Below are 21,009 nucleotides of genomic sequence, written 5' to 3' on the forward strand. Positions count from 1 at the left end.
GCTAAGTAACGCCCACACCGCCTCCACTCCCCAAAGCTGTCCACATCCTAGTCCTTACCTTATACAGTAAAAAGGACTCTGCAGCTATGATTAGATGAAAGGTCTTTAGACGACCTTAGATCATCAGGATACACCCATTTTCACCATAAAAGTCCTTATAAGAAGGAGGCAGGGCCAAGCGCGGTGGCTCATGCCTGTAATTCCAGCACTTTGGGAGGCTGAGGTTGGTGGATCACTTGAGGCCAGGAGTTCAAGACCAGACTGGCCAATGTGGTGAAACCTATCTCTACTAAAAATACAAAAATTAGCTGAGTGTGGTGGCATACACCTGTAGTTTCTGCTACTCAGGAGGCTGAGGCAGGAAAATGGTTTGAACTCAGGAGGCGGAGGTTGTGATGAGCCAAGATCATGCCACTGCCCTCTAGTCTGGGCAACAGAGCGAGACCCTGTCTCAAAAAATTAAATTAAAAAATAAAAATTAAATTAAAAAATTAAAATGGAGGCAGGAGGGTCAGAGTCAGAGAAGGAGATGCAATCACAAAAGCAAGTCATTGGAGCCACATAAGGAAGAATCCAGAGGTCAAGGAATGCAGGCATCTCTAGATTCTGGAAAGAGCAAAGAAACAAATTCTGCCCTGAAGATTCTAAAAGGAACACAGCCCTGCCAACATCTTAATTTTAGACTCTGACTTGTGGGACTATAAGAATAAATCTGAGTTGTTTTAATCCACTAGGTCTGTGGTCTTTTGCATAGCAGACACAGGAACCTGAGATATTAACCTTCATCTACTTTCTCTTCCAATCTATGAGGGTTCCCCCAGCGGACTCCCTCTATAATCAGTACGGTCCATTCAGCATTCATCCATGCACACCCCAAGTTTTCCACTCTAGGGGTGCCGTGTGTGCACCATTTGAGAAACACGGCCTCTGCACAGGAATTGCATCATAATCATCCTTGCATCCACCATGTTGCCCACATGGGCTTTATACATAGCAAACACCCTGTAAACATGTATTTAATTGCATAGAAAGCCAGTATTCCATTGCCATCCACAGTGAGCCTCTTAAAATACATTCTTCATCAGACCCATTTATATTTGTCCAGAGCTAGTCATGCATGATGGTAGGAGAATGAAATGAATAATTTTATTTTTGCCATCAGGAAGTAAACATTTTATTCATAGACTTTGTCATCCTGTGTAATAGGGTCTGAGTATTCACTCTGCATTTTAGAACATCAGACATATGGAAAATCTATTTGATGTGTAGTTCTCAGTTCCTGACCTTATGTCTTTCTCAGTTCATTATTTCCACCTCTCTCTAGTCATTGGATTTGTAGAAAGAACAGAGATATTTAAGAAACATTATTCATTCCTTCAGAGTCTTGGATTTCTCCAAATAGTCCAAAAAATGGCCTATTTTTAGATGATTGAATTATACTAGAAAGGTGGTGATCTTGCCCCCAGATGACATTTGTCAGTGTCTAGAACATTTCAGGGGGTGCGAGGGGAATGCCACTGGCATCTAGGGGGCAGAGGCCCGGGTTGCTGGTAAAGTTCTCACAATGCACTGGACAGCCTCTCTGCAACAAGAATTATCCAACCCCAGATGTCAGGGGGGACAATTGAAGTTGCCGCTTCTCCACTCTCCCCAATTAGAAGTATCTGCTTAGGTGGAGAAATCCTGGGCTGGAACAACAGGCTGCAACTTGGCCAAATGACCTCTGATTAAAAGCAAGAGAGCTGGCTTAAAACCTGTTCAAGGCCATTTCGAAAAACCTGGAGGCTTTCCCTGACTGCAAGCTTGGTCTTGGGCAAAAGTGCCTTATGACTGCTAGAAAAGCTAAGAGCATCTCAAAGTTCAAGTGCTGGCATGGAACTTGGGCTATAGCATTGCATGCTGGCCTTCTGCATTCCTCTTGGTGCCTCTTTTTAAGAGGGATGTTGGCAAATTCAGGTGTGTTCAAGGGAGGCAACCTGGAAAAAAAAAAAAAGAGTGTTGCGGGGAGCTGAAGAAGGAGGACTCTGGAAGCACAGAAACCCAGATTCCTCCAGCCCTGTTACTGCCACTTAGCAGCCATAAGACCTCGAGAAATTGACTCACCATCTCTAAACCAGAGTTTCCTTGTCTTGGGAATTAACAGGAAGATTGTAATGAGTTAAAGTTCATGTGTGAAGCGCTTAGCACCGTGACTGCCACCTCTAAGCACTCAATAAACAGGGCTGTTTATGCTTGTTATTCGGAACGGGAGAGGGCTGCAACTCGGGCACCTGAGGCACAATGGGAAGTGCTGGAGCTGGAAAAGGAATGAGTGATGGACAGACTCGATCATCGTTGTGTAGCATTTGAAGGAGGCTGTCTCTGGTGGGCTGAACTACGATGAATGTTAGCAAAATTCTACAGGCATACTGGGACTCAACCTGGGGAAGCCCCGCAGGCTGCTCAGCATGGATCAGTGATCCTCATTCTGGCCACCAGCAGAGGTGCCTTGCTACACGCCACCACCTTGGGGCAGGTGCCACTGGACAGTAGCCTGCGTGGACAACTAAAGCTGTCCCTTCTCCACTCTCCCCAGTTAGAAGTATCTGTGACTTCAGATGCAGGGAGATTTTGAAGCTATCCCATTAGAAAGTCAATAGTCTGCCTACCTCATTCTTTAGCAAGGATGCCCCATAATTAATCAAGTGGGCTGAAGGAATAAAAGCCTCCTGTGCTCATTGCATTCTGTGAGCAAACAATAGCGGGAAACAAATGCCAGACGGGCTGTGGTAGGCATAACAGATGACATAGTAGGAATTGGTTTATCTTGGCATCTTGGGGGGCTTTATCTTAGTGTAATCAGTCAATTAGCAAACTTTCCTAATGGCTGAGAGGCACACTGGCTAGCATGTGTGTGGTTGTTTGTTTGTTTGGTGTTTTGGGGTTTTTTATTTTTTGGTTTTTTTGTTTTTTGTTTTTTGTTTTGAGAAAGGTCTTACTCTCTTACCCATACTGGAGTATAGTGGCGCAATCTTGACTCACCACAACCTCTGCCTTCCAGGCTCAAGCGATTCTCGTGCCTCAGCTTCCCAAGTAGCTGGGATTACGTGTGCATACCACTACCACCTGGCTAATTTTTGTATTTTTAGTAGAGACGGGATTTCACCATGTTGGCCAGGCTGGTCTCGAACTCCTGACCTTAAATGATCCACCGCCTTGGCCTCCCAAAGCACTGGGATTACAGGCGTGAGCCACCACACCCAGCTGGCCAGCATGTTTTTAGGTGCTTAGTAGACATTGCATTCTTTCTCCAGGGTTGCCATAACAAAGTACCATAGACTGAGCAGCTTAAGTAGCAGAAATTTAATTTCTTACAATTCTGTAGGTTAGAAGTCTGAGATCAAGGTGTTGGCAGAGTTGGTTCCTTCTGAGGCCTCTCTTCTTGGCTTGTAGATGGCTGTCTTCTCCCTGTGTCCTCACAGAGTCTTCCCTCTCTGTCTGTCTGTGCCCTAATCTCTTCTCATGAGGACACCAGTCATATCTGACTAGGGCCCACTATAGTGATCTCCTTTTAACTTACCTGTTTAAGACAATCATACTGTGAGGTGCTGGAGATTAGGACATCCACATATATATTTGGGGAAACACAATTCAGACCAGAACAGGCACCACTAAAATTTGGCAGCACCTTTTAAAAGGGCCTTGAATGGAAAGGAGAGAACCTGTGGTTTACAATAGCCGCCAGAGCACTGGGGGCTCTTGCGATCTCATGAGACCAAACTCCAGGTCTAGGCACACCTGGTTTGGGACAGGCCTGCTTTAGCATTGAAAACAGGATCTTTGCCCAACAGGAAGGTTGGAGAATGAGGCATGCATCTAAGAAAAAAATGCAAGCAAAATAAAAATTCCCACATATTGCCTTAATTGTCTTTACAGAAGGAAATATCCCAGGGCAAGAATCATCAGGGCATGCTCTGCGCCCTGCATTTGATTTCATGTTTTCAGGAGCACCCCTCAAGGTCTGGAGAAGCACAGGTGCTGTACCTGTACAAGCCAGCAAGGCAAAGAGGCCTGGTTGCAAGATGTGAGGCAACATTTTATATTTTACTTATGTTATTCAATTTGTCTACACATCTATCCTTTTCTGGAAAAAGACCATATTGCCACTTGAGTTTCAGTATTACAGACATTGTTTTCCTCTAAGTGACTAGACTCTCTGTTTAGCTCGCCACACAACATCATATCTGCCATGTGCTGTCACACACTAATAAAAGCATAGAGGAGTATGTAAAACAGCATTGCTTCTCTAAAAATTCAGCCCTATTAAGTTTGTTGGTACATCACCTGGATTTTTATTAAAGTAGTAAAAATGTTCCGCAAAGTGACTTTGAAGTAACAGTACGATTCTGAGCCACGTTAAAGAAATGTTAAGGTGGAGAGCTCTGTTGCTTTCAAATACTAGTATAATTCTGGCCAAATATCCCTGTTTAAAATGATCTGAGCACTTTAGGCCTTTTACTAATGTATGGATTATAGTTCAAGCCAGTAGCTAGGGAGCTGTGTGTTTGAGCCTCCATCTCTACCACCTAGCAGCAAACAGATCAACCTGGGAAAGGAGCAGCTGCCTGCACTTCATTCACTGAGGATTCTTCCAACCCTCTCTCCGTCTAACGGGCTGGGGTCCTTCATGGACGCATTGATAGATGACAGTGTGCCAATCCAGCACACACCAGAAATGGTTACTCCACCAGGGAGCTCACCTCATCTTCTGCCATTGGCCTCCCACCCCACATTTTTCCAATGAGGTTCTTTGAGTCCGACTTATTTTTGACAAAGCCACACTGGTTTGTAATGAGCATTGCATTCTTTTATACAGAGTTGGGGAGGGAGGGAGATTTTGAAGGGGGAAAACACGAACCAAGTAGGTAGATATTTGCATCTCTCAACTTTTCTCGTCACCAAAAAAAAAAAAAATTTCCTCTTCAAATTTGTAGGTAAAAAGACGTGTTTCTTTAACTTTACCTCTCACAAATGGTATGTTCATCTATCGGCTGGGACTCTTTTAGTTAAAAAGGAAACCTAACTCAAACCAGAATGGGGGTGGGGAAAGTGAATTGATGTATCTCACATAACTGGGAGATCCAAGGGTGGATGTGGTTTTAACCAGAACTCGATCTGAGGGTTTGTGGGAAATATTCAAATTAGAACAGTTAAGAGCAGACACCAGCCAATCAAAACAGTCCATGCCAGTGACGTCAGCCCTGCATGTGCCGTCAGGGTGGGGCTATCAGGAATCTCTCTCCCTCTTGACTGCCTTCCTCATTGTCAACATTACTCTCAAAGAGGCTTTGGTCAGGTTTCAAAAGGCCAGCAGTAGCTCTGGGTCTACAGCTCCCCAGCTCTGCACCCCAGAGAAATGCCTGTCCAGTATTCTCCAAAATTCCTGGGCTCATGCTCACTTGTCCAGAGTAGATCTCTAGCCCACCCTATACCCATCGCTGGCCACTGGCCCCATCCAAAACTCTGGGGCAGTGAGTGGAGGGGGGGCTGCCCTACGCCAAATCAGGTGGTCTTACAGGAAGAAGTGAAAATAGATGCCGCAGAAGCCACAACAATCCCATCCACTGCAAATCACACGATAGTAAATGGCACTTTAGACCCCTTCTATAGTTTCCAGAAATGTAGAGAGGATCACGTTGCTTTAGTGTCTTGCCCCAAGTGCTATTAATATCCCTGTCCCTAAAAGATTGATTTTTATTATCGGTAGAAATACTTAATAGAAATGAAATCTACGCTCTCGGTCATAGATAGCTGGCATAAAAATTAAACAAAACACTGTGAAGCATACTTCTGAAGTGACCGCATACCTAGCTATGCTGCCCCAGTGAGCTCAAGTGTGTTTTCATTAGGGCATTTGGTAAGCCTGGGGGAAACTGTTTCTGCCCCACAAAGGAATGTTCTGCAAACATTCAGTAACTAACCATGTGATGCTTTCTACCTCTGTAACTAAAGCTAAAGACTTTTACCTATTGACTTGGATTCTCAGCTATCAGTAGGAGGGACAGTTTCAAAACATTGTCTATAGAGACTGTAACATATGACTATCACAAGACAGACTCAGGAACTGTTGAATATTCATGAGTTAAATGGGCAAAATGTTTGACATCCTGGCATCTTTGGATGTGTTTGTTTTACATTTAGTAGCTTTTCTATAGAAGACAGAAATGGGAAATGCCTTCTTAATCTGCTTGAAGGAGAGGGTTCTGATGATACTCATCTATCTTCGATGAGAATGGGTCTTTATCTTTAATTCCTAATTAACGGTTTTGCCAACTACCTTTATCTATTTCCCTTGTGATTTTAAGAGAAAGGAAAAGTCTTGAGTGTGTTGCCTCTGCCCATCTGTTTCTTTACATCATTTGCGAGCTCAGGTACTTGTTATTTGCTGAGCAAGGACTTTCCAGCTAGGATTGGATAAAGCAGTAGCTAGGTTCGAGAGTAAGAGTTTTATTGCTATCATTTAGAGTATTTCTTCATTCGTTCATGCATGCCTTTGCTCATAAATACCCCCACCTTATTCCACAAAAGATATGAAATGGAGCTTTATTGCTATGAGTTCATGCTGGCATAAATATTAAGCTCTGTGTAATAATCACTTGGGCTATTCCCGTACATAGTGCAGAGTTACTTATGGCCAACGCAAAGTCTATTTTCCCATCAGAGGTTAACGTTCCCATTTACTTGATCAGGGTTTGGATAATGCTTCATTCACAGCTGTTTTTCGCTTGCAAGAATCCATCTACTTTATCCTCACTGACCTTACCCTGGCAGGTGGTGCCAGGATTTCCTCAGGCAGTTGTTTGTTTTAGCATTTTCGAGTATTTATACTGGCTGCGGTAAGGGAGCCAGGATCCTGGGGCTTGTAAGTACCAGGTCTTGGTAAGTCTCCTTCCTGGCAGCAGCAGCAGCGTTAGTAAAATGCATTTTCCAATACTATCCTGTGTCTTAAATGGTATTTTTATCCATTAGAGTTGAGTGCAAGCAATAGAAATTAACTCTGAAGAACGAATGCAAAAACAGTGTCTTTGAGGGCTGTGTGTCGCTGACAGGCAGGCGGGTCCCTCAGGGGAGCCCTGGTGGACAGTCTGATGCTCGGTGCCAACTGTCAGCCCAGGCCAGGAGTCAGAGTTGGGAGAGATTGTGATGCCTTGGCTTGGGTCAGGGCCCACTTCCTAGCTCGGGGATGGTCAACCTTGACAACAGCGTGTGACAAGGGTGGAGTCATAGCAATTAGGGTGTTTTTACCAAAGTGAAGGAAGACGAAATGCCTTCCTGGGTGGGGAAAAAAACAACAGATGTCCACTACCCTCCCCTTTTGCAGTAATTTTCTCTCCATATTTGATGACTATTCTATCAGATATTGTTAAAATCTTTCCCCAGTATATGCAATTTACCTTTAATGTCATCTTCTTGGTACAGTCTTCCATTTTGCTGAGTTCATTTTGTTTTCCATAAAGCTAGGAAAACTTAGACTTGCCCACTTTTTTGTTTTAATAGACTTTGTTTTTTAGAGCAGTTGCAGGTTCACAGCAAAATTGAGCAGAAGGTACAGGGAGTTCTCACATGCTTCCTGCCCCCACACATGCACAGCCTCCCCCATAATCAATATCCCCCACCAAACTGGGACATTCGTTACAACTAATGAACCTACCTTGACACGTCATGATCACCAGAGGCCATAGTGCAAATTAGGGTTCCCTTTTGGTGTTGGAAATCCCGTGGGTTTGGGCAAATGTATAACAGCATGCATCCACCATTGTAATACCATGCAGAGTAGTTTCAGAACTCTAAATATCCCGTGTGCTCCACCCGTACATCCCTCCTTCCCGCCAACCCTTGCCAGTCATTAATCCCCACTCTGCTGTACCTCTTACTGGCTTTTTTTATGTCTTGAGTCACAGTCTTGCTCTGTCACCCAGGCTGGAGTGCAGTGGTGCAGTCTCAGCTCACTGCAACCTCCACCTCCTGGACTCAAGCAATCCTCCTGCCTCAGCCTCCAGAGTAGCTGGGACTACAGGCACGTGCCACCACACCCGGTTAATTTTTGTATTTTTAGTAGAGATGGGGTTTCACTATGTTGGCCGGGCTGGTCTCAAATCCCTGACCTCATGATCCGCCCTCCTCAGCCTTCCAAAGTGCTGGGATTATAGGCATGAGCCACCGCACCCGCCCTGGCCTCTTTAATGATTGTTTACTTGGGTAGGTAAAGTCTTCCAGTCCTTTTCATTCTCTCTAAAATCAGAAACTCTTTGGAAATATCTGAATTTTCAGATCAACATCATTGCCTGTAAAACTCTTTAAGACCCTCTTTGAAATGGGGTAACAGCCATTAAAAAAATGAGAAGGCCAGACTCAGGCTGGACATGGTGGCTCATACCTGTAATCCCAGCACTTTGGGAGGCCGAAGCAGGTGGATTAGTTGAGGTCAGGAGTTCAAGACCCGTCTGGCCAACATGTCTGGCCAACATGGTGAAGCCCCGTCTCTACTAAAAATACAAAAATTAGCCAGGGGTAGTGGTGCACACCTGTAGTCCCAGCTACTTGGGAGGCTGAGGCAGGAGAATTGCTTGAACCCAGGAGACGGAGGTTGTAGTGAGCCAAGATTGCACCACTACCCTCCAGCCTGGATGACAGAGCGAGATACTATCTCCAAAAAAAAAAGAAAAGAAAGTGAGGCAAATGAAGACTTGTAGTGATTGCTTTACTATAATCCCCTAATCTCCCCTGACTTCTTCCCCACTTTTTGTATATATTTTCCATCTTCTCCCATTGGGTTCAGTCTGAACTGAATCTGTCTGAACTGCCTGGTTCACCGCACGTGAAAGTCCCTGTCTCCACTTTCTTCTGTCTCAGGAAACAGGCTCAGGGCAGCTGAGAAACAGGCCCAGGCCATCCTGCTGAAGGACGACACCATCAGGAAGAAACAGGTAGTGACATGAAATGGGCACCTACTATGAGCCAAGGGCTGACTCTTGGTGTCTATTTCTTCATTTAATGATCACGGGGACGCTGTGAGCTCCTTTCACCTCTCACTGCCTCAATTTCCTTACCTGTAAGTGGCGACGATAATTCCTTCCTCCAGGACTATTGTGAGAGTTTGAGAGCTAGTTTGGAGAAAAAGTAGGCCAATTAACCAGCTCCCCTGCATGCAAAGCTTGTTATTTCTCTGTGACAGAGGCAGCTCTTTAAAATCTTACCGTGCACGTTCTGCAGGACACCTTTCCCTGGATTTTTCTTTCACGCAAACCCCATTCAGTTCCTACTGTGCTCTGCTTGCCTCTCCTGTTGTTGAGAGGCTCAGGAAAAACAACTGGAACTAATTCACCACTCTGGCTTGATGAAGTCACTTCCTGCTGCTCTGGGCATTGGCCTCTGGAACAATCAACCGCTGTCTGGTGGGAATTCTATTAACATGACTGTGACTGTCTTACTTTGGACAGTCTTACTTTGGATTGCCCCCGAAGCAGATGCTGAGACAAGGGTTAGGGTGAAAATAGTTTAGTTGGCAGAAAATCCCATAAAATACCAGCGGGAGAGCAGGAAGTGGGACAGGAGAGGAACACAGCCCACACACTCTGCATTGTCCATCCAGCCACCACTATGCGTACAGGAGCTGAATCCCAGAGGAACACACTCCTGGGCTTATTCCATCCAAGTAATATCGTAGGCTGGGGGAGGTCCCCAAACGCCAGTGAGTCCTTGACCCCAGTCATTGTCCAGGCTCTTGACTGTGAGAAGAAATTCAAGAATGAGTCAGAAAATAGTGAAAGTATGGTTTATTGCAAAGCAAAAAGTATACACTCAAGAAAGGTGAGTGTGAGCGTTTTCAAGAGTGAAGGAATCGCTCTCAAGGGGGATTGGGGTTGCTACCTCTATGGATTTCTTTAACCAAGCAGTGGAATGTTCATGAAGATTCCTGGAAAAAGGTGGAGATTTCTCATAACTGAGGTGTCACCCATTTTTGCACCAAATATGGGTGTTCCTGGAACCATCGAGGTGCCGGTGGGTGTGTGATATAGTATGTTAACGAGCATATATTGAGGTCCTAGGGAAAACCTAAGTGAAATCCACCACCACGATGGGTCCAGTTGGTCTTAGCCAGCTTGGCCCACACTCTTGTTTTTTCAGGGTCTTATCAGCCCCTAGCTTCTGCAGCTATTTCAACATTTTCCTTTTGCTAATCATGTGAAACTACTGCCTGGAATTTTCTATTCTTCTATGACCACCCTGTATTCTTCTTGTCTCATGGGGAGCAAGGGAGCTGAGGTATAAGTACCCCAGTCATTGGGTGAGGGTTGCTCCTGAGAGAGGTGCTGATTCTCATCGCATTCAGCCTGCTGCATAGATGAGCAAAGGCCTTTGGCTGCTGGTGCAAGTTCTCTGGCAAAGGAATGCAGGTGCTGACAGGTGCATTTGGCCTGATATGCACTGTAGGGGGATGGCTTCCAGGGCACCCTCAATGCCTCTTAAAATCATTCTCTCCTTAAAACCAGCCCATTCATCTCTTGGGGGCTTCTGCCTCTCTTTCAGACAAATTATTGCAGAGAGTCCAGTAGCCAAGTAGAATTGCATTGAGCAGGCACATTTGACAATGACATTTGATTCCAGAACTTGTCAAGCTTTGTTCTCAGAATATGACCAGATCCTAATAATGTCTGTCCACTGTTGAGGGACCACTGCGTACCAGACCCTATGTGGGATCTGTGAAGTCTATTACCTCATTCAGTCATCCCAGCAACCCTGTGAGGGATCCCCCACTGTCTCCAATTTCTGCACTAGGAGAGGGCGACATGGGGAGGTTACGCCACACTCCACGTCACTCACCCACGGCCCTCTCAGTAAACGGTGGACACAGGATCCGTAGCCTGAATGTCTGTGTCATGGTCAAGCTCCAGGTCTTTTCCAGCGCCACATTTTCCAGCACAACAACTAGATTAGTAAGTGTTCGCTTATGAGGATGTACTAGGAGCGTAGCTACCGAGCGCTTCCTGCATACCACGTGCAGTTATACACACCTCACATGTAAGAATTTAAACCCCCACGGTGACGCTAGGAGGTATGCACGGTTACTTCCATTATAAGGTGAGGAGGCTGTGGCATACCATGTTCTGTGCCATGTCCTCAGATACCATTATACCAGATGCCATTCCTTAAGCCCCTGAGTACCAATCCCACTCCCTCTCCATCACACACAGCCACTATGGAATACACTCACATCAGCGTCAGTTGGCCCCACTCACTGTGGGGCAGAATTTCCCTGGTCTGATGCCTGGCATCTGCCCAGAAGGCACTGCAGCATAGGGGACAGTGGGGTCAGACTCCACTGTAGGAATCTACATCTCCCTGCACACACTGTGAGGCCTTGCAAGGGCTACTGCACATCAGCGAGCCTCCATTTTCCTCATATTCAAGATGGAATCAAGCTTGTCTTCCTGGCGGGTTGGTGAAGATGGCACTAAATGAGAAGGGAACAGGGTAGGCACCAAATGGTTGCTGCTGCCGAATTTGGGACCGGGGTGCTGGTGGTCATCTGAGTGCCAGCTCTGCCTGACCTTGATCCAGTACATACGTACACACACACACACACGTTCACACACTTGTGCATGTACACATGTGTACATCATGCACATACATGTCCACACATTCACACACCACTCCCACATCTGCACCCACATGCAAGTACTCATACATGCACTCATGCACACACATGCACACACATTCACACATGTGCACTCACACATGCACACACTCTCCAGTAAGCTTTTTGGAGTTCATCAATATTACACCCAAGTCAGCATTTATTGAGCACCTACTGCATACCAGCATTATGCCAAGCACAAGAGATTAGGGGAAGTTGGGCGTAATGGCTCACGTTCATAATCCTGCTCTTTGGGAGGCTGAGGCAGGAAGATTCCTTGAGCGTAGGAGTTCGAGGACAGCCTGGGCAACATAGTGAGACCCCGTCTCTGTCTTTAAAAAAAAAAGACACAAGGGGAGCCCAGAAATGAAACAGCCAATGTATCATTTCAGGCAGACCATCTCGTTTTCACAGGAAGCAGCAAAGACAGGGTGCCAGACACCTTTGCCACGCTCCACTGGCTTCCATACTCTGAGAAAAGAGGGAATCCGACTCATGAGAGCCAGAAATGAAATTGATGCAATCCCAAACCCAGGGCCAGTCCATCCTGGAAGGTAAGCCCCATGGGGCCTTGTGACTGCCTCTTCTTTCAAGCAAGGTCCTGTCATAATTTTCTCCCTGGCACAACCTTTATGGAGTGGGTTATAACTGTGCCTGAAATGGACTGGCCTCTGGCAGAGCATTCCTCGGTGTGGGAGCCATCAGGCCCTCAGGAACGAGTCTTCCTGCCACCAGGAGGTTTCATGTATGCACCTGTATCATCAGTAGTGTGGTGTTTCTGTATCGTCAGAACTCAGCACACCATTTCTGGCCAGCATGGTTGTTTGATGTAGACTGAGAAGTGGGTTCAGTAATGAGCACCTGGCACACTCAAACTCTGCTAGGGTTGGGTGGCCACACTCCTTTGAGGCTTGACCAATGTCACCTGAAGGTCACCACCAGTAGCCATCCAGAACAGTTTAATTGGGGGTTGGCAGTCCATCTGCAGTGACACACTGCCTGTGTCCTCCAAAACTCAGTGGATTGGAGAATTGAGTCACGATGAATCTTGTAACCCATACCCAGAGCCCTGAAGAACGCAGGTTGTTTGCACGCCCAGCCACAAAGAAGTTGCCTTCTCTTGATCTTTGAAGCAATTAAATGTCATTTAGAGAGGAGAGGTTTGCTGTTTAAAAATATTTTTTAAAACAGCTTGAGTTTATTCTTGTAAGGCTGCCATTGGGTCTGAGACCCCAGAGGAGCAGTGCGCTGCCTTGCAGTTACTCCGCAGTGGGCAAGACAGGCATGTTTTGCTCTGGGAAGAGTTGCTGAACACCTGTCTGAGCAAGGGACTCTTTGTGGCTGTCTGGTCGTTATGTACACCACTTGGTCCTACCTCCAAGTAGCTTGTGGTCTCCTGGGAGCTGTAAGAAATCCAAACCAGCAAACAACATAGTTTTTGTTTCCAGTGTTAACCACCTGGCGAATGGTCCAGATAGGAATGCTGTAGAAGCTCCAGGGAGGAAGAGACTCCAGGGGCTCAAGTGGTTTAGCAGGGCTAGCAGGACTAGCAGGACAAGACAGAGTTTGAATGAGATCGTTGCATCTAAGTGGAATAAGGAGAAGCTGATAATGCAAGAAGGTCAACCATCTCACACACATCTAGGGACCGTGGGGAAACCCATTTTGCTAGAGTAGAGAGATTGGATGAGGAAGTACAGGCTGCACCCTGGAGCCAAGCTAAGTAAACTGGACTTCATTCTGAACTGGGAGTGGAGGGGTCCATGTGCAAAAGAGCACTGTGGGAGGATCCAGGGGACACTGGAGCCCTGGAGCTTGTTAGGAAGCAAGCTACTCATTCCCAGGGAAGAAAGAGGAGGACTCAGAGTGGGGAGGAGTGTGCCACATGAAAGGTGCCCACAGTATTCAAATCCCAACTTCGCTGCCTGCTAATTATGTGAACCGATGCTGGCTACACAATCTCTCTGAGCCTTGCTATTCTCATCCCTGAAATGGCAATAGTAATCCCAGCCTCAAACAATGATAGTTAAGATTATATGAAATATCATGCATGTAGTGCCAGCTACATATGTACAGTGTCCAACCCCACAAAGGGGATCCCTGTTATTCGTAGGGAGATGGTGTAGCAGTGTTGCCCTAGAGCCAATTCATAGCAGTTTGCAGGGGCCAGTTGTTACCATCTCTTTGTAGCTGTGCATTCAGTGACATCGTGGGAGTAACTCGAAACTGGCCACATTGGAAATACTTCTATCATGGAATTAGACAAACACTATTAATTCAAGCTTTCCCCACCTCCAGAGAATCAGATGTTAAACATTTGCCAGTGTTCCTCTGGCAAAGAAAAGGAAAATAGCCAGAGGTAAGTGAAATCAAATGAGAGAAGTCTAACCTTGCAAAACTGAGCCAACTGCACTGATGTATCCTGTTGTCTGTCCCACACCCTCGCAAGGCTTTTGGTCTTTGTCCAGCAGAGTCACCACGTCTTATTCAGGTTACAGTGCTGAGCTATTTGGAAACCAGGCTGGGGGGGTGGATTTCAATGTCATCTTACTAAAAAAGTTCACTAATGAAAAGTGTATTGCTAAGACAGCAGCTTCATATTTCTCCCAGTCTTTATCAGCAGCCATGGATTGAATCGTTGACTTGATTTTACTACACTGAGGTCCCACTGAGGAAGGCCAAGTTCCTAAATCATGCACCTGACAGGTGCCATATTTCTGAGCACAGAGCTGAGCTGTGACCTTCTAGTTTCACAGTAACTAGAGCTGGGTGACATGCTTAATAAAGGGAGTACATGGTGCATTTTTAAAATATGGAATGAAGGTGGAATCATGCAGACATGTCAGTCTGAAACTGGTTACCAGAAGCAAGGTGATCAATCTTCCTGCCTGTCTTAGGATGCTGATGTGAGAAGCACGATGACTTTCACTTGGCAGAAGGATTTGGAAGTATCTGGGCTTGATAAGCTACCTCATGCCAAGGACCATGCTCTGTATACGACTTCATCTTTTCACCCACCCTATGAGTGAGGTTTTAGTGTCTCCATTTCACATATAGAGAAGTAAAAGCTTGGAAGGTTAGCACCTCTCTCCATGTCCCACAGATACTAAAGGGCTGAGCCAAGATTTGAGTGTGCTTTTGTCTGATTCGCCTCTGCTTGGCCCTCTGTCTCCAAGCTGCTGCTTAGCTGGAGGCTCCTCAGTGACATCAGCTCACTGTGGCTCCCTCTGCCTGGAATGTTCTCCCTTGCCCAGGCCTTCATGTGACTGTCTCCTTTTCACTTCAGTCTCACTATCATCTCCTTTGCAAGGCTTTCCCTGATCACCTTCGCTAAAGAAGCCCTCCTCAACTCTGCCCACCTGTCACTGGTCACTCCCTGTACTGTTGCCCAATGGGACGGCTTTCAGAGCACATACCACTCTCTGAAGTTATCGTATTGTGTGTTAACTATTTTTATGATCTCCCTTCCTCTTGTAGAACAGAAGCTCCATGAGAACAGGAATTTCATGCCTTGTTCTCTTTCATATATGCAGAGTAAAGAAGAATGTCTGACATATAATAGCTACACAATAAATATTGAAAGAATGAGGGGATGGGTGGACAGATGCATAGATCCATGGAAGAATGGATGGATGGATGGATGGATGGATAGATGGATGGATACATGAATTGATGGATGCATGGATAGACACATGGATGAGTGATGAATGCCTGGGTGGGTGATGAATGCATGGATGAATGTGGAATGCATGGATGGATGATGAATGCATGGGTGGGTGATGAACGCATGGGTGAGTGGTGAATGCGTGGGTGAGTGATGAATGCATGGGTGAGTGTGGAAAGCATGGGTGGGTGATGAATGTATGGGTGAGTGATGAATGCATGGGTGGGTGATGAATGCATGGGTGGGTGATGAATACATGGGTGAGTGATAAATGCATGGGTGGGTGATGAATGCATGGGTGGGTGATGAATGCATGGATGAATGTGGAATGCATGGGTGGATGATGAATGCATGGGTGGGTGATTAATGCATGGGTAGGTGATGAATGCATGGGTGAGTGATGAATGAATGGATGAGTGTGGAATGCATGGCTGAGTGATGAATGCATGGGTGGGGGATGAATGCATGGGTGGGTGATGAATGCATGGGTGAGTGATGAATGCATAGGTGAGTGAGGAATGCATGGGTGGATGATGAATGCATGGGTGGATGATGAATGCATGGATGAGTGTGGAATGCATGGGTGAGTGATAAATGCATGAGTCGGTGGATGAATGCATGGATGAATGATGAATGCATGAATGGATGGATACATGGATGGATGAAGTTGTACAAGCTCAAACCAGCTCAGATTGGAGGAAGCGTCTTACTTGAAGCCCCCTGTGACTATGTTGGGGCTTGTCTCCTACCATCTCACTGAAGGAGCCTATCTCCTAAGCTCTCTCCTAGACACCTGTATCCTTACTTTCCCCTCCCTTCCCAGCCTGAGCAGTGTCAGCGTCAGGAGCAAGATGATTGATGAAGTGTCAGCAGGGACACAACCAGCTGGGTGAGCAGGGGCTATATTGTAACCTGCAGCCAGGAGCTGCTCCCTTGAGATGGCCTTTGGGTACAACTCTATATGGCTTCCCAGCCTTTCTTCCAGCTGCAGGATCATCCTACCCCTGGGACTCCCTTATTGGTGTCCTCATTAGGCCAATCAATGCAAATTAAGCCCTGATTCACAGATAGTGGGGATATACAGTCACCACGACACATATGGCCTCTGTCATCCAGTTTCACTCAGTCTAGAGAAAGAAAGAGATGAATAAACAGACCCTTTTAGTATAAAAGCTATGATGAAAGTGACATTTGAGGTGAAAACACTACAATATAACAGCAGCAGAGAGAAAGGCACATCAGTCAAAGTCAAGGAAGGAAGGGACAGCTGGGCTCAGACTTGCAGGTAGACCAGGGCAAGGATGTTCAGGCAGAGGAAATGGGATAAACAAAGGCATGGTGGCCAAGAGAGCTAGATCCGTTCACTCAACACACAGGCAGGACTGCAACGGGTCTTGTGTATCCTGTGGATCTAATCTATCCTTAGGCGTCAGTCTGGGAAACATGAGTTCCGTCTTCTCCACTAATCTGGGAAGGAGGGTCAAGTGGTACCTCTGTCTCCACCTCCTCCAGGCCTACACAGTTTGTGACTGACATACTGAGCACCAGGTCTGCATCACCCACCTTATCACATGTGGGCACAGGATCTCTGCCGGGGGCAAGCGGTATGATGTGTCCTGGTCACGGTCTGGCTGGTGATTTGGTTACATCCAGACACGGAAGTCGACCTAGAATAACCTAAGACAAAGGCAGTCGTTTCTCTGGCTGACATTGTCAGAACGTTAAACAACCAAAAACAGCAACAAAGTGATGGGCCAAGCAGGCAAGTTTGGGAACAGCTTTAATGACTAATTTCTAATGAGAGTTTCAAAACACTAATTTTCCAGAACAGAGAATCAAGTTGTGCTCATTTATAACCCGTCATCTGCAATGAGACAGAGGATATTTCTTTCTGTGTTGTCAGTTAACTTTCTGAGCTGGACAGAATACAAACTAGAAGAGGTGGGCCGTAAATCAGCTCCTTTGGAACTGATAAATGGATATTGTACAAATCCTGCATTTGCATTGGCTCTGAGGACATAAATCAATTCTCATGATCTTACTTTGGAAAAAAATTTCCCTTTGAAGTCAGACTGAGCGATTTATGTAGCATTCTTTCCTGACTTTATTTTTCTCAGCTTTTTAATGATTGTCTTTTCACTTTCTGCACTTACACAACATTGTAAAGTGTTGCATTTTCATGTAGAGAAAACTGGACCTTGGTCTGAATCTTCCCACAAGGGATAATTTTATAACTTTTTTGCTCAGCCATTGAATAACAATTGCTTTTGGAAAGATTGTCATAATGTATCAGTTAGAAGGCACCTTAGAGACCATCATTTCACATGACCTCTGTTTTTTAGATGGGGAAACTGAGGCCCAAGAGTGACAGTCATGTGCTGCAGGTCACAGGCCAAGTTTGTGACAAGACCGGGGTGTCTGTTCGGGTTTTGGAGAAACAAGGACCCTAGATAGGGTCCATTCATTCATTCATTTATTTATTTATTTGTTCATTCTCCAGACAAATCGTTATCTTGGCCCCTTCTGCTGCAGCCATTGCCACTAAGAAGGCAGGCCCTGCAGGGGAGACTCTGCACGTCTTTTGTTTGTTGAGTATTTGCTAAACGGGCAAAAAATGGAAGAAAAATCAAAACATCACTGTTGGCTGGGCACGGTGGCTCACGCCTGTAATCCCGGCCCTTTGGGAGGCCGAGGCGGGCAGATCACGAGGTGAGGAGATCAAGACCATCCTGGCTAACACGGTGAAACCCCGTCTCTACTAAAAATACAAAAAAAAATTAGCCGAGCGTGGAGGCGGGCCCCTGTAGTCCCAGCTACTCGCGAGGCTGAGGCAGGGGAATGGCGTGAACCCGGGAGGCGGAGCTTGTAGTGAGCGGAGATGGCGCCACTGCGCTCCAGCCTGGGGCGACAGAGCAAGACTCTGTCTCAAAAAAAAAAAAAAATCACCGTCCTTTTTTGGCGTTCTGTCAGTCAAGAGTATTCTGAAGACTATCGAGGGAGGAGTGTTTGGTTTGTGCCTTGTTTTGTTCTGTTTTAGCAGCCCTGGAAATCATGGATACCTCCCTTCCTTGAAGTTATCTTTCCCATGTATAACAGCTGTATTGATTTATGAGATATAATTCACATACCGTACAATTCACCCATTTAAAATATACAATTCAATGGTTTTTAGTGTAGTCACAGAGTTGTGCAACCATCACCGCCCTCGATTTTAGAACATTTTCAGCACCCTAAAGAGAAGCCCCATCCCCCTTAACCGTTAACGTGCTTCCTTCTCCCCACTGCTCTAGTGACCACTAACCAGCTTCCTGTCTCTGTGGGTTTGCCTAGTACGGACATTTCATCGGAATGAAATCAGCTAACATGTGATATCCTTAATGGTTTTGTAGCAGAAAGACATCTACGTGGGAAGGGACGCTGCTGAGTGTTTAGAGAACAGACACATTCATCATTTTATTGTATTTTCTCAACTTTAGAACAGTTTTCAAACATGTGGAAACGTTGGAAGAATTTTATAGCAAGCACCCTTTGCCCCATCACCGAGATTCTCCCAGCACATCTTCTTCTGCTTGCTTTATTTAGTGCACACCTATCCACCTGTTCCAGAGATCACCACTGCGGCAGTGGGTTCTCAAAGGAGAACCTTCCAACCTTCCCGCATTGAGAAAGAAAAATATCAGTTTTACTAAATGAAATATCAACATTGGAGATTTTATAAGCCGAGAATGTTAGTACATCAACATTAGAAGCCCTAAAAAATAAAATTGCATTCAAAGGCCAAAAAAGTCTTAGGCTTGCTAGCTCTCCAGGAAAGGCCTGTGTGTTCAGGACAGGAGGACTAAGGACCAAACAGGTTTGGGAATGACAGATCCCTTGACGGAACTGGCTGACAACTTTGCTCACCAGTCACAGCAGGGCAGCCCAGGGAGTGAACAGGGGCGTTGGCGGGGAGGGCAGCCATTCCCGCCCGCTGCTAATGGGCTCGCTTCTCAAAGGAGCTTTTGGGATTCAAGGGTTTAAGTATCAAGTTTGACTGATGGATTTGGAGGGAAGAATTGAAAACTGCCTGAGGGAAGGCGCTTTGCTTTTTCTTTTGTGAGGCAAAAGCTTTTGAAAACTGTGACTGTACAAAGAGCCACAGCTCCTCTGAGGAGTCTGTTATGCGGCAACACATACTCAGATGTGGACAGCAGTGAGCACGCTGCCTGGAAAGGGGGAACAGCACCGCGGGCAGGCTTCAGAGCCACACACCACGTCTCTGTCTCAGAGTCTATCCTCGACCACAGGGTTTAAGTCTTTGATGTGCACACTGGGCCCTGGAGAGAAGGTGCCTGTTCTCACGGGCTGACCCCACAAGCCTGTGAGCCGTAAGCGGTGTGATTCGCTAACAGTTGAATGGCACTGGCTATGTGTGTATGTGTATGTGTGTGCGTGTGTGTGTGTGTGTGTGTTGTGAAGATACATTTAGTTTGAGTCCCTATGAAACGAGGAGAAAAGGTCTTGACAAACAACAGTTCAATAGCTCCTGCCAATATGTGCAATGCAATTCTTTTTAGTGAGTGAATTAGGCTTGATAAGAACTACATTAAAGCTTCTGTTGGAAGAGGAATTCAAAATGCTCATCTTTGTAATTTACCCACTCAGTCACCAGTGTTTACCAAGTGCCAATGGAAGCCTGGAGAGAAGAGAAAGCAAAGATAAATAAGCGTGTCTCTCGGCCTTCAAAGCACTGTGCCCAGCAGGAAGGAAAGCACACAATTACGACATGCCGTTTTTATTGTATATATGTTTATATATTAGGTTGGGCCATGTGAAATTGCTGATGTGACGGGTTTTGACGAGAGAAATGGCAACTGTGTGGTTCAACCTAATATTTAGATAGTATTGTCTTAGCTCAGGCTGCCATAACCAAATACCACAGACTGGGCAGCTTGAATACAGACATGTATTACTCACAGTTCTGGAGGCTGGAAGTCCAAGATCATGGTTCTAGCTGGTTCAGTCTCTGGGGAGGGCTCTCTTTCTGGCTTGCAGACAGCCACCTTCTTGCTGTGTCCTCATGTAGCCTCATTTCCTTGGGGCATGTACCTGGAGGGTGGGGATTAGGGAGCATACAGGGTCTCCTTTTATAAGGATCCTCATCCTATCAGATCAGAGCTCCATCCTCATGACCTCATGTAACCTTAACTTCCTAAGGAGAGGCCCACCTCCAAGTACTGCCACAATGGGGGTTAGAGTTCTATCAACATCCGAATTTGGGGGGAACAGCAACAAATGTTCAGTTCACAAGTATAAAATGGATATATTATTTATGTGCATATACATCATATACTGTTACATATCATAGATAAGACATGCATATTATACATATGTGTATGTATATATAGTAAATATACCATCTATAGTAATAAGGTTTCACAAAGAAGAGAAAATGGAAATGTAGAGATATAAAGGAAATCATCTTTGTATTACTAGTCTTTTTATTGCCAAAAAAATTTTATTTGCAAAACAAATATAGGCTCATGGTAAAAATTTTAGCAACTGAGATAGGCAAAACTAAGAAAGATGTAAATCCCACTAGCCAGATACCACTACTCCTAAGACCCAGGTCAGACAGCGAGGCATCACTGTTAAGAGCATGGGCGCTATGGTTGGACAACTCTATCAC

The 21,009-nt window shown here is 45.7% G+C and overlaps 1 protein-coding gene and 1 long non-coding RNA gene across 7 annotated transcripts in view, besides 2 other annotated features; one reads left to right on the forward strand and one right to left on the reverse strand.

The window, feature by feature from the left end:
• CDH13 (cadherin 13) overlaps positions 1 to 21,009 on the forward strand; it is a 1,173,672-nt gene that overhangs the window by 1,081,602 nt on the left and 71,061 nt on the right. The gene's annotated exons all lie outside the window — the stretch shown is intronic.
• Positions 1,457 to 1,626: an enhancer, noted in NCBI's record as "experimental_46306 CRE fragment used in MPRA reporter constructs". NCBI's record gives its function as "activates a minimal promoter by MPRAs in K562 erythroleukemia cells, with activity observed for both the introgressed and non-introgressed 16:83743717 variant alleles {active_cell/tissue: K562}" and the evidence as "EXISTENCE:reporter gene assay evidence [ECO:0000049][PMID:34662402]".
• CEDORA (CDH13 antisense oligodendrocyte and neuron associated lncRNA) overlaps positions 11,820 to 21,009 on the reverse strand; it is a 52,560-nt gene continuing 43,370 nt past the window's right edge. The window contains exons 2-4 of one of the 2 annotated variants that reach the window (NR_188498.1): positions 20,298 to 20,429; positions 16,905 to 17,018; positions 11,820 to 13,080 (exon numbers count right to left, since the gene is read on the reverse strand). This is a non-coding gene — a long non-coding RNA (CDH13 antisense oligodendrocyte and neuron associated lncRNA). Of the gene's footprint in view, positions 13,263 to 16,904; positions 17,019 to 20,297; positions 20,430 to 21,009 lie in introns of both variants that reach the window. The other variant, NR_188499.1, reaches the window with a different exon arrangement.
• Positions 19,368 to 19,868: an enhancer, noted in NCBI's record as "NANOG-H3K4me1 hESC enhancer chr16:83761543-83762043 (GRCh37/hg19 assembly coordinates)". NCBI's record gives its function as "activates a minimal SCP1, AML or CMV promoter by ChIP-STARR-seq in naive H9 embryonic stem cells {active_cell/tissue: H9 hESC(naive)}" and the evidence as "EXISTENCE:reporter gene assay evidence [ECO:0000049][PMID:30033119]".

Source organism: Homo sapiens, chromosome 16 (assembly GCF_000001405.40).
Source record: "Homo sapiens chromosome 16, GRCh38.p14 Primary Assembly".
Taxonomy (NCBI): Eukaryota; Metazoa; Chordata; class Mammalia; order Primates; family Hominidae; genus Homo; species Homo sapiens.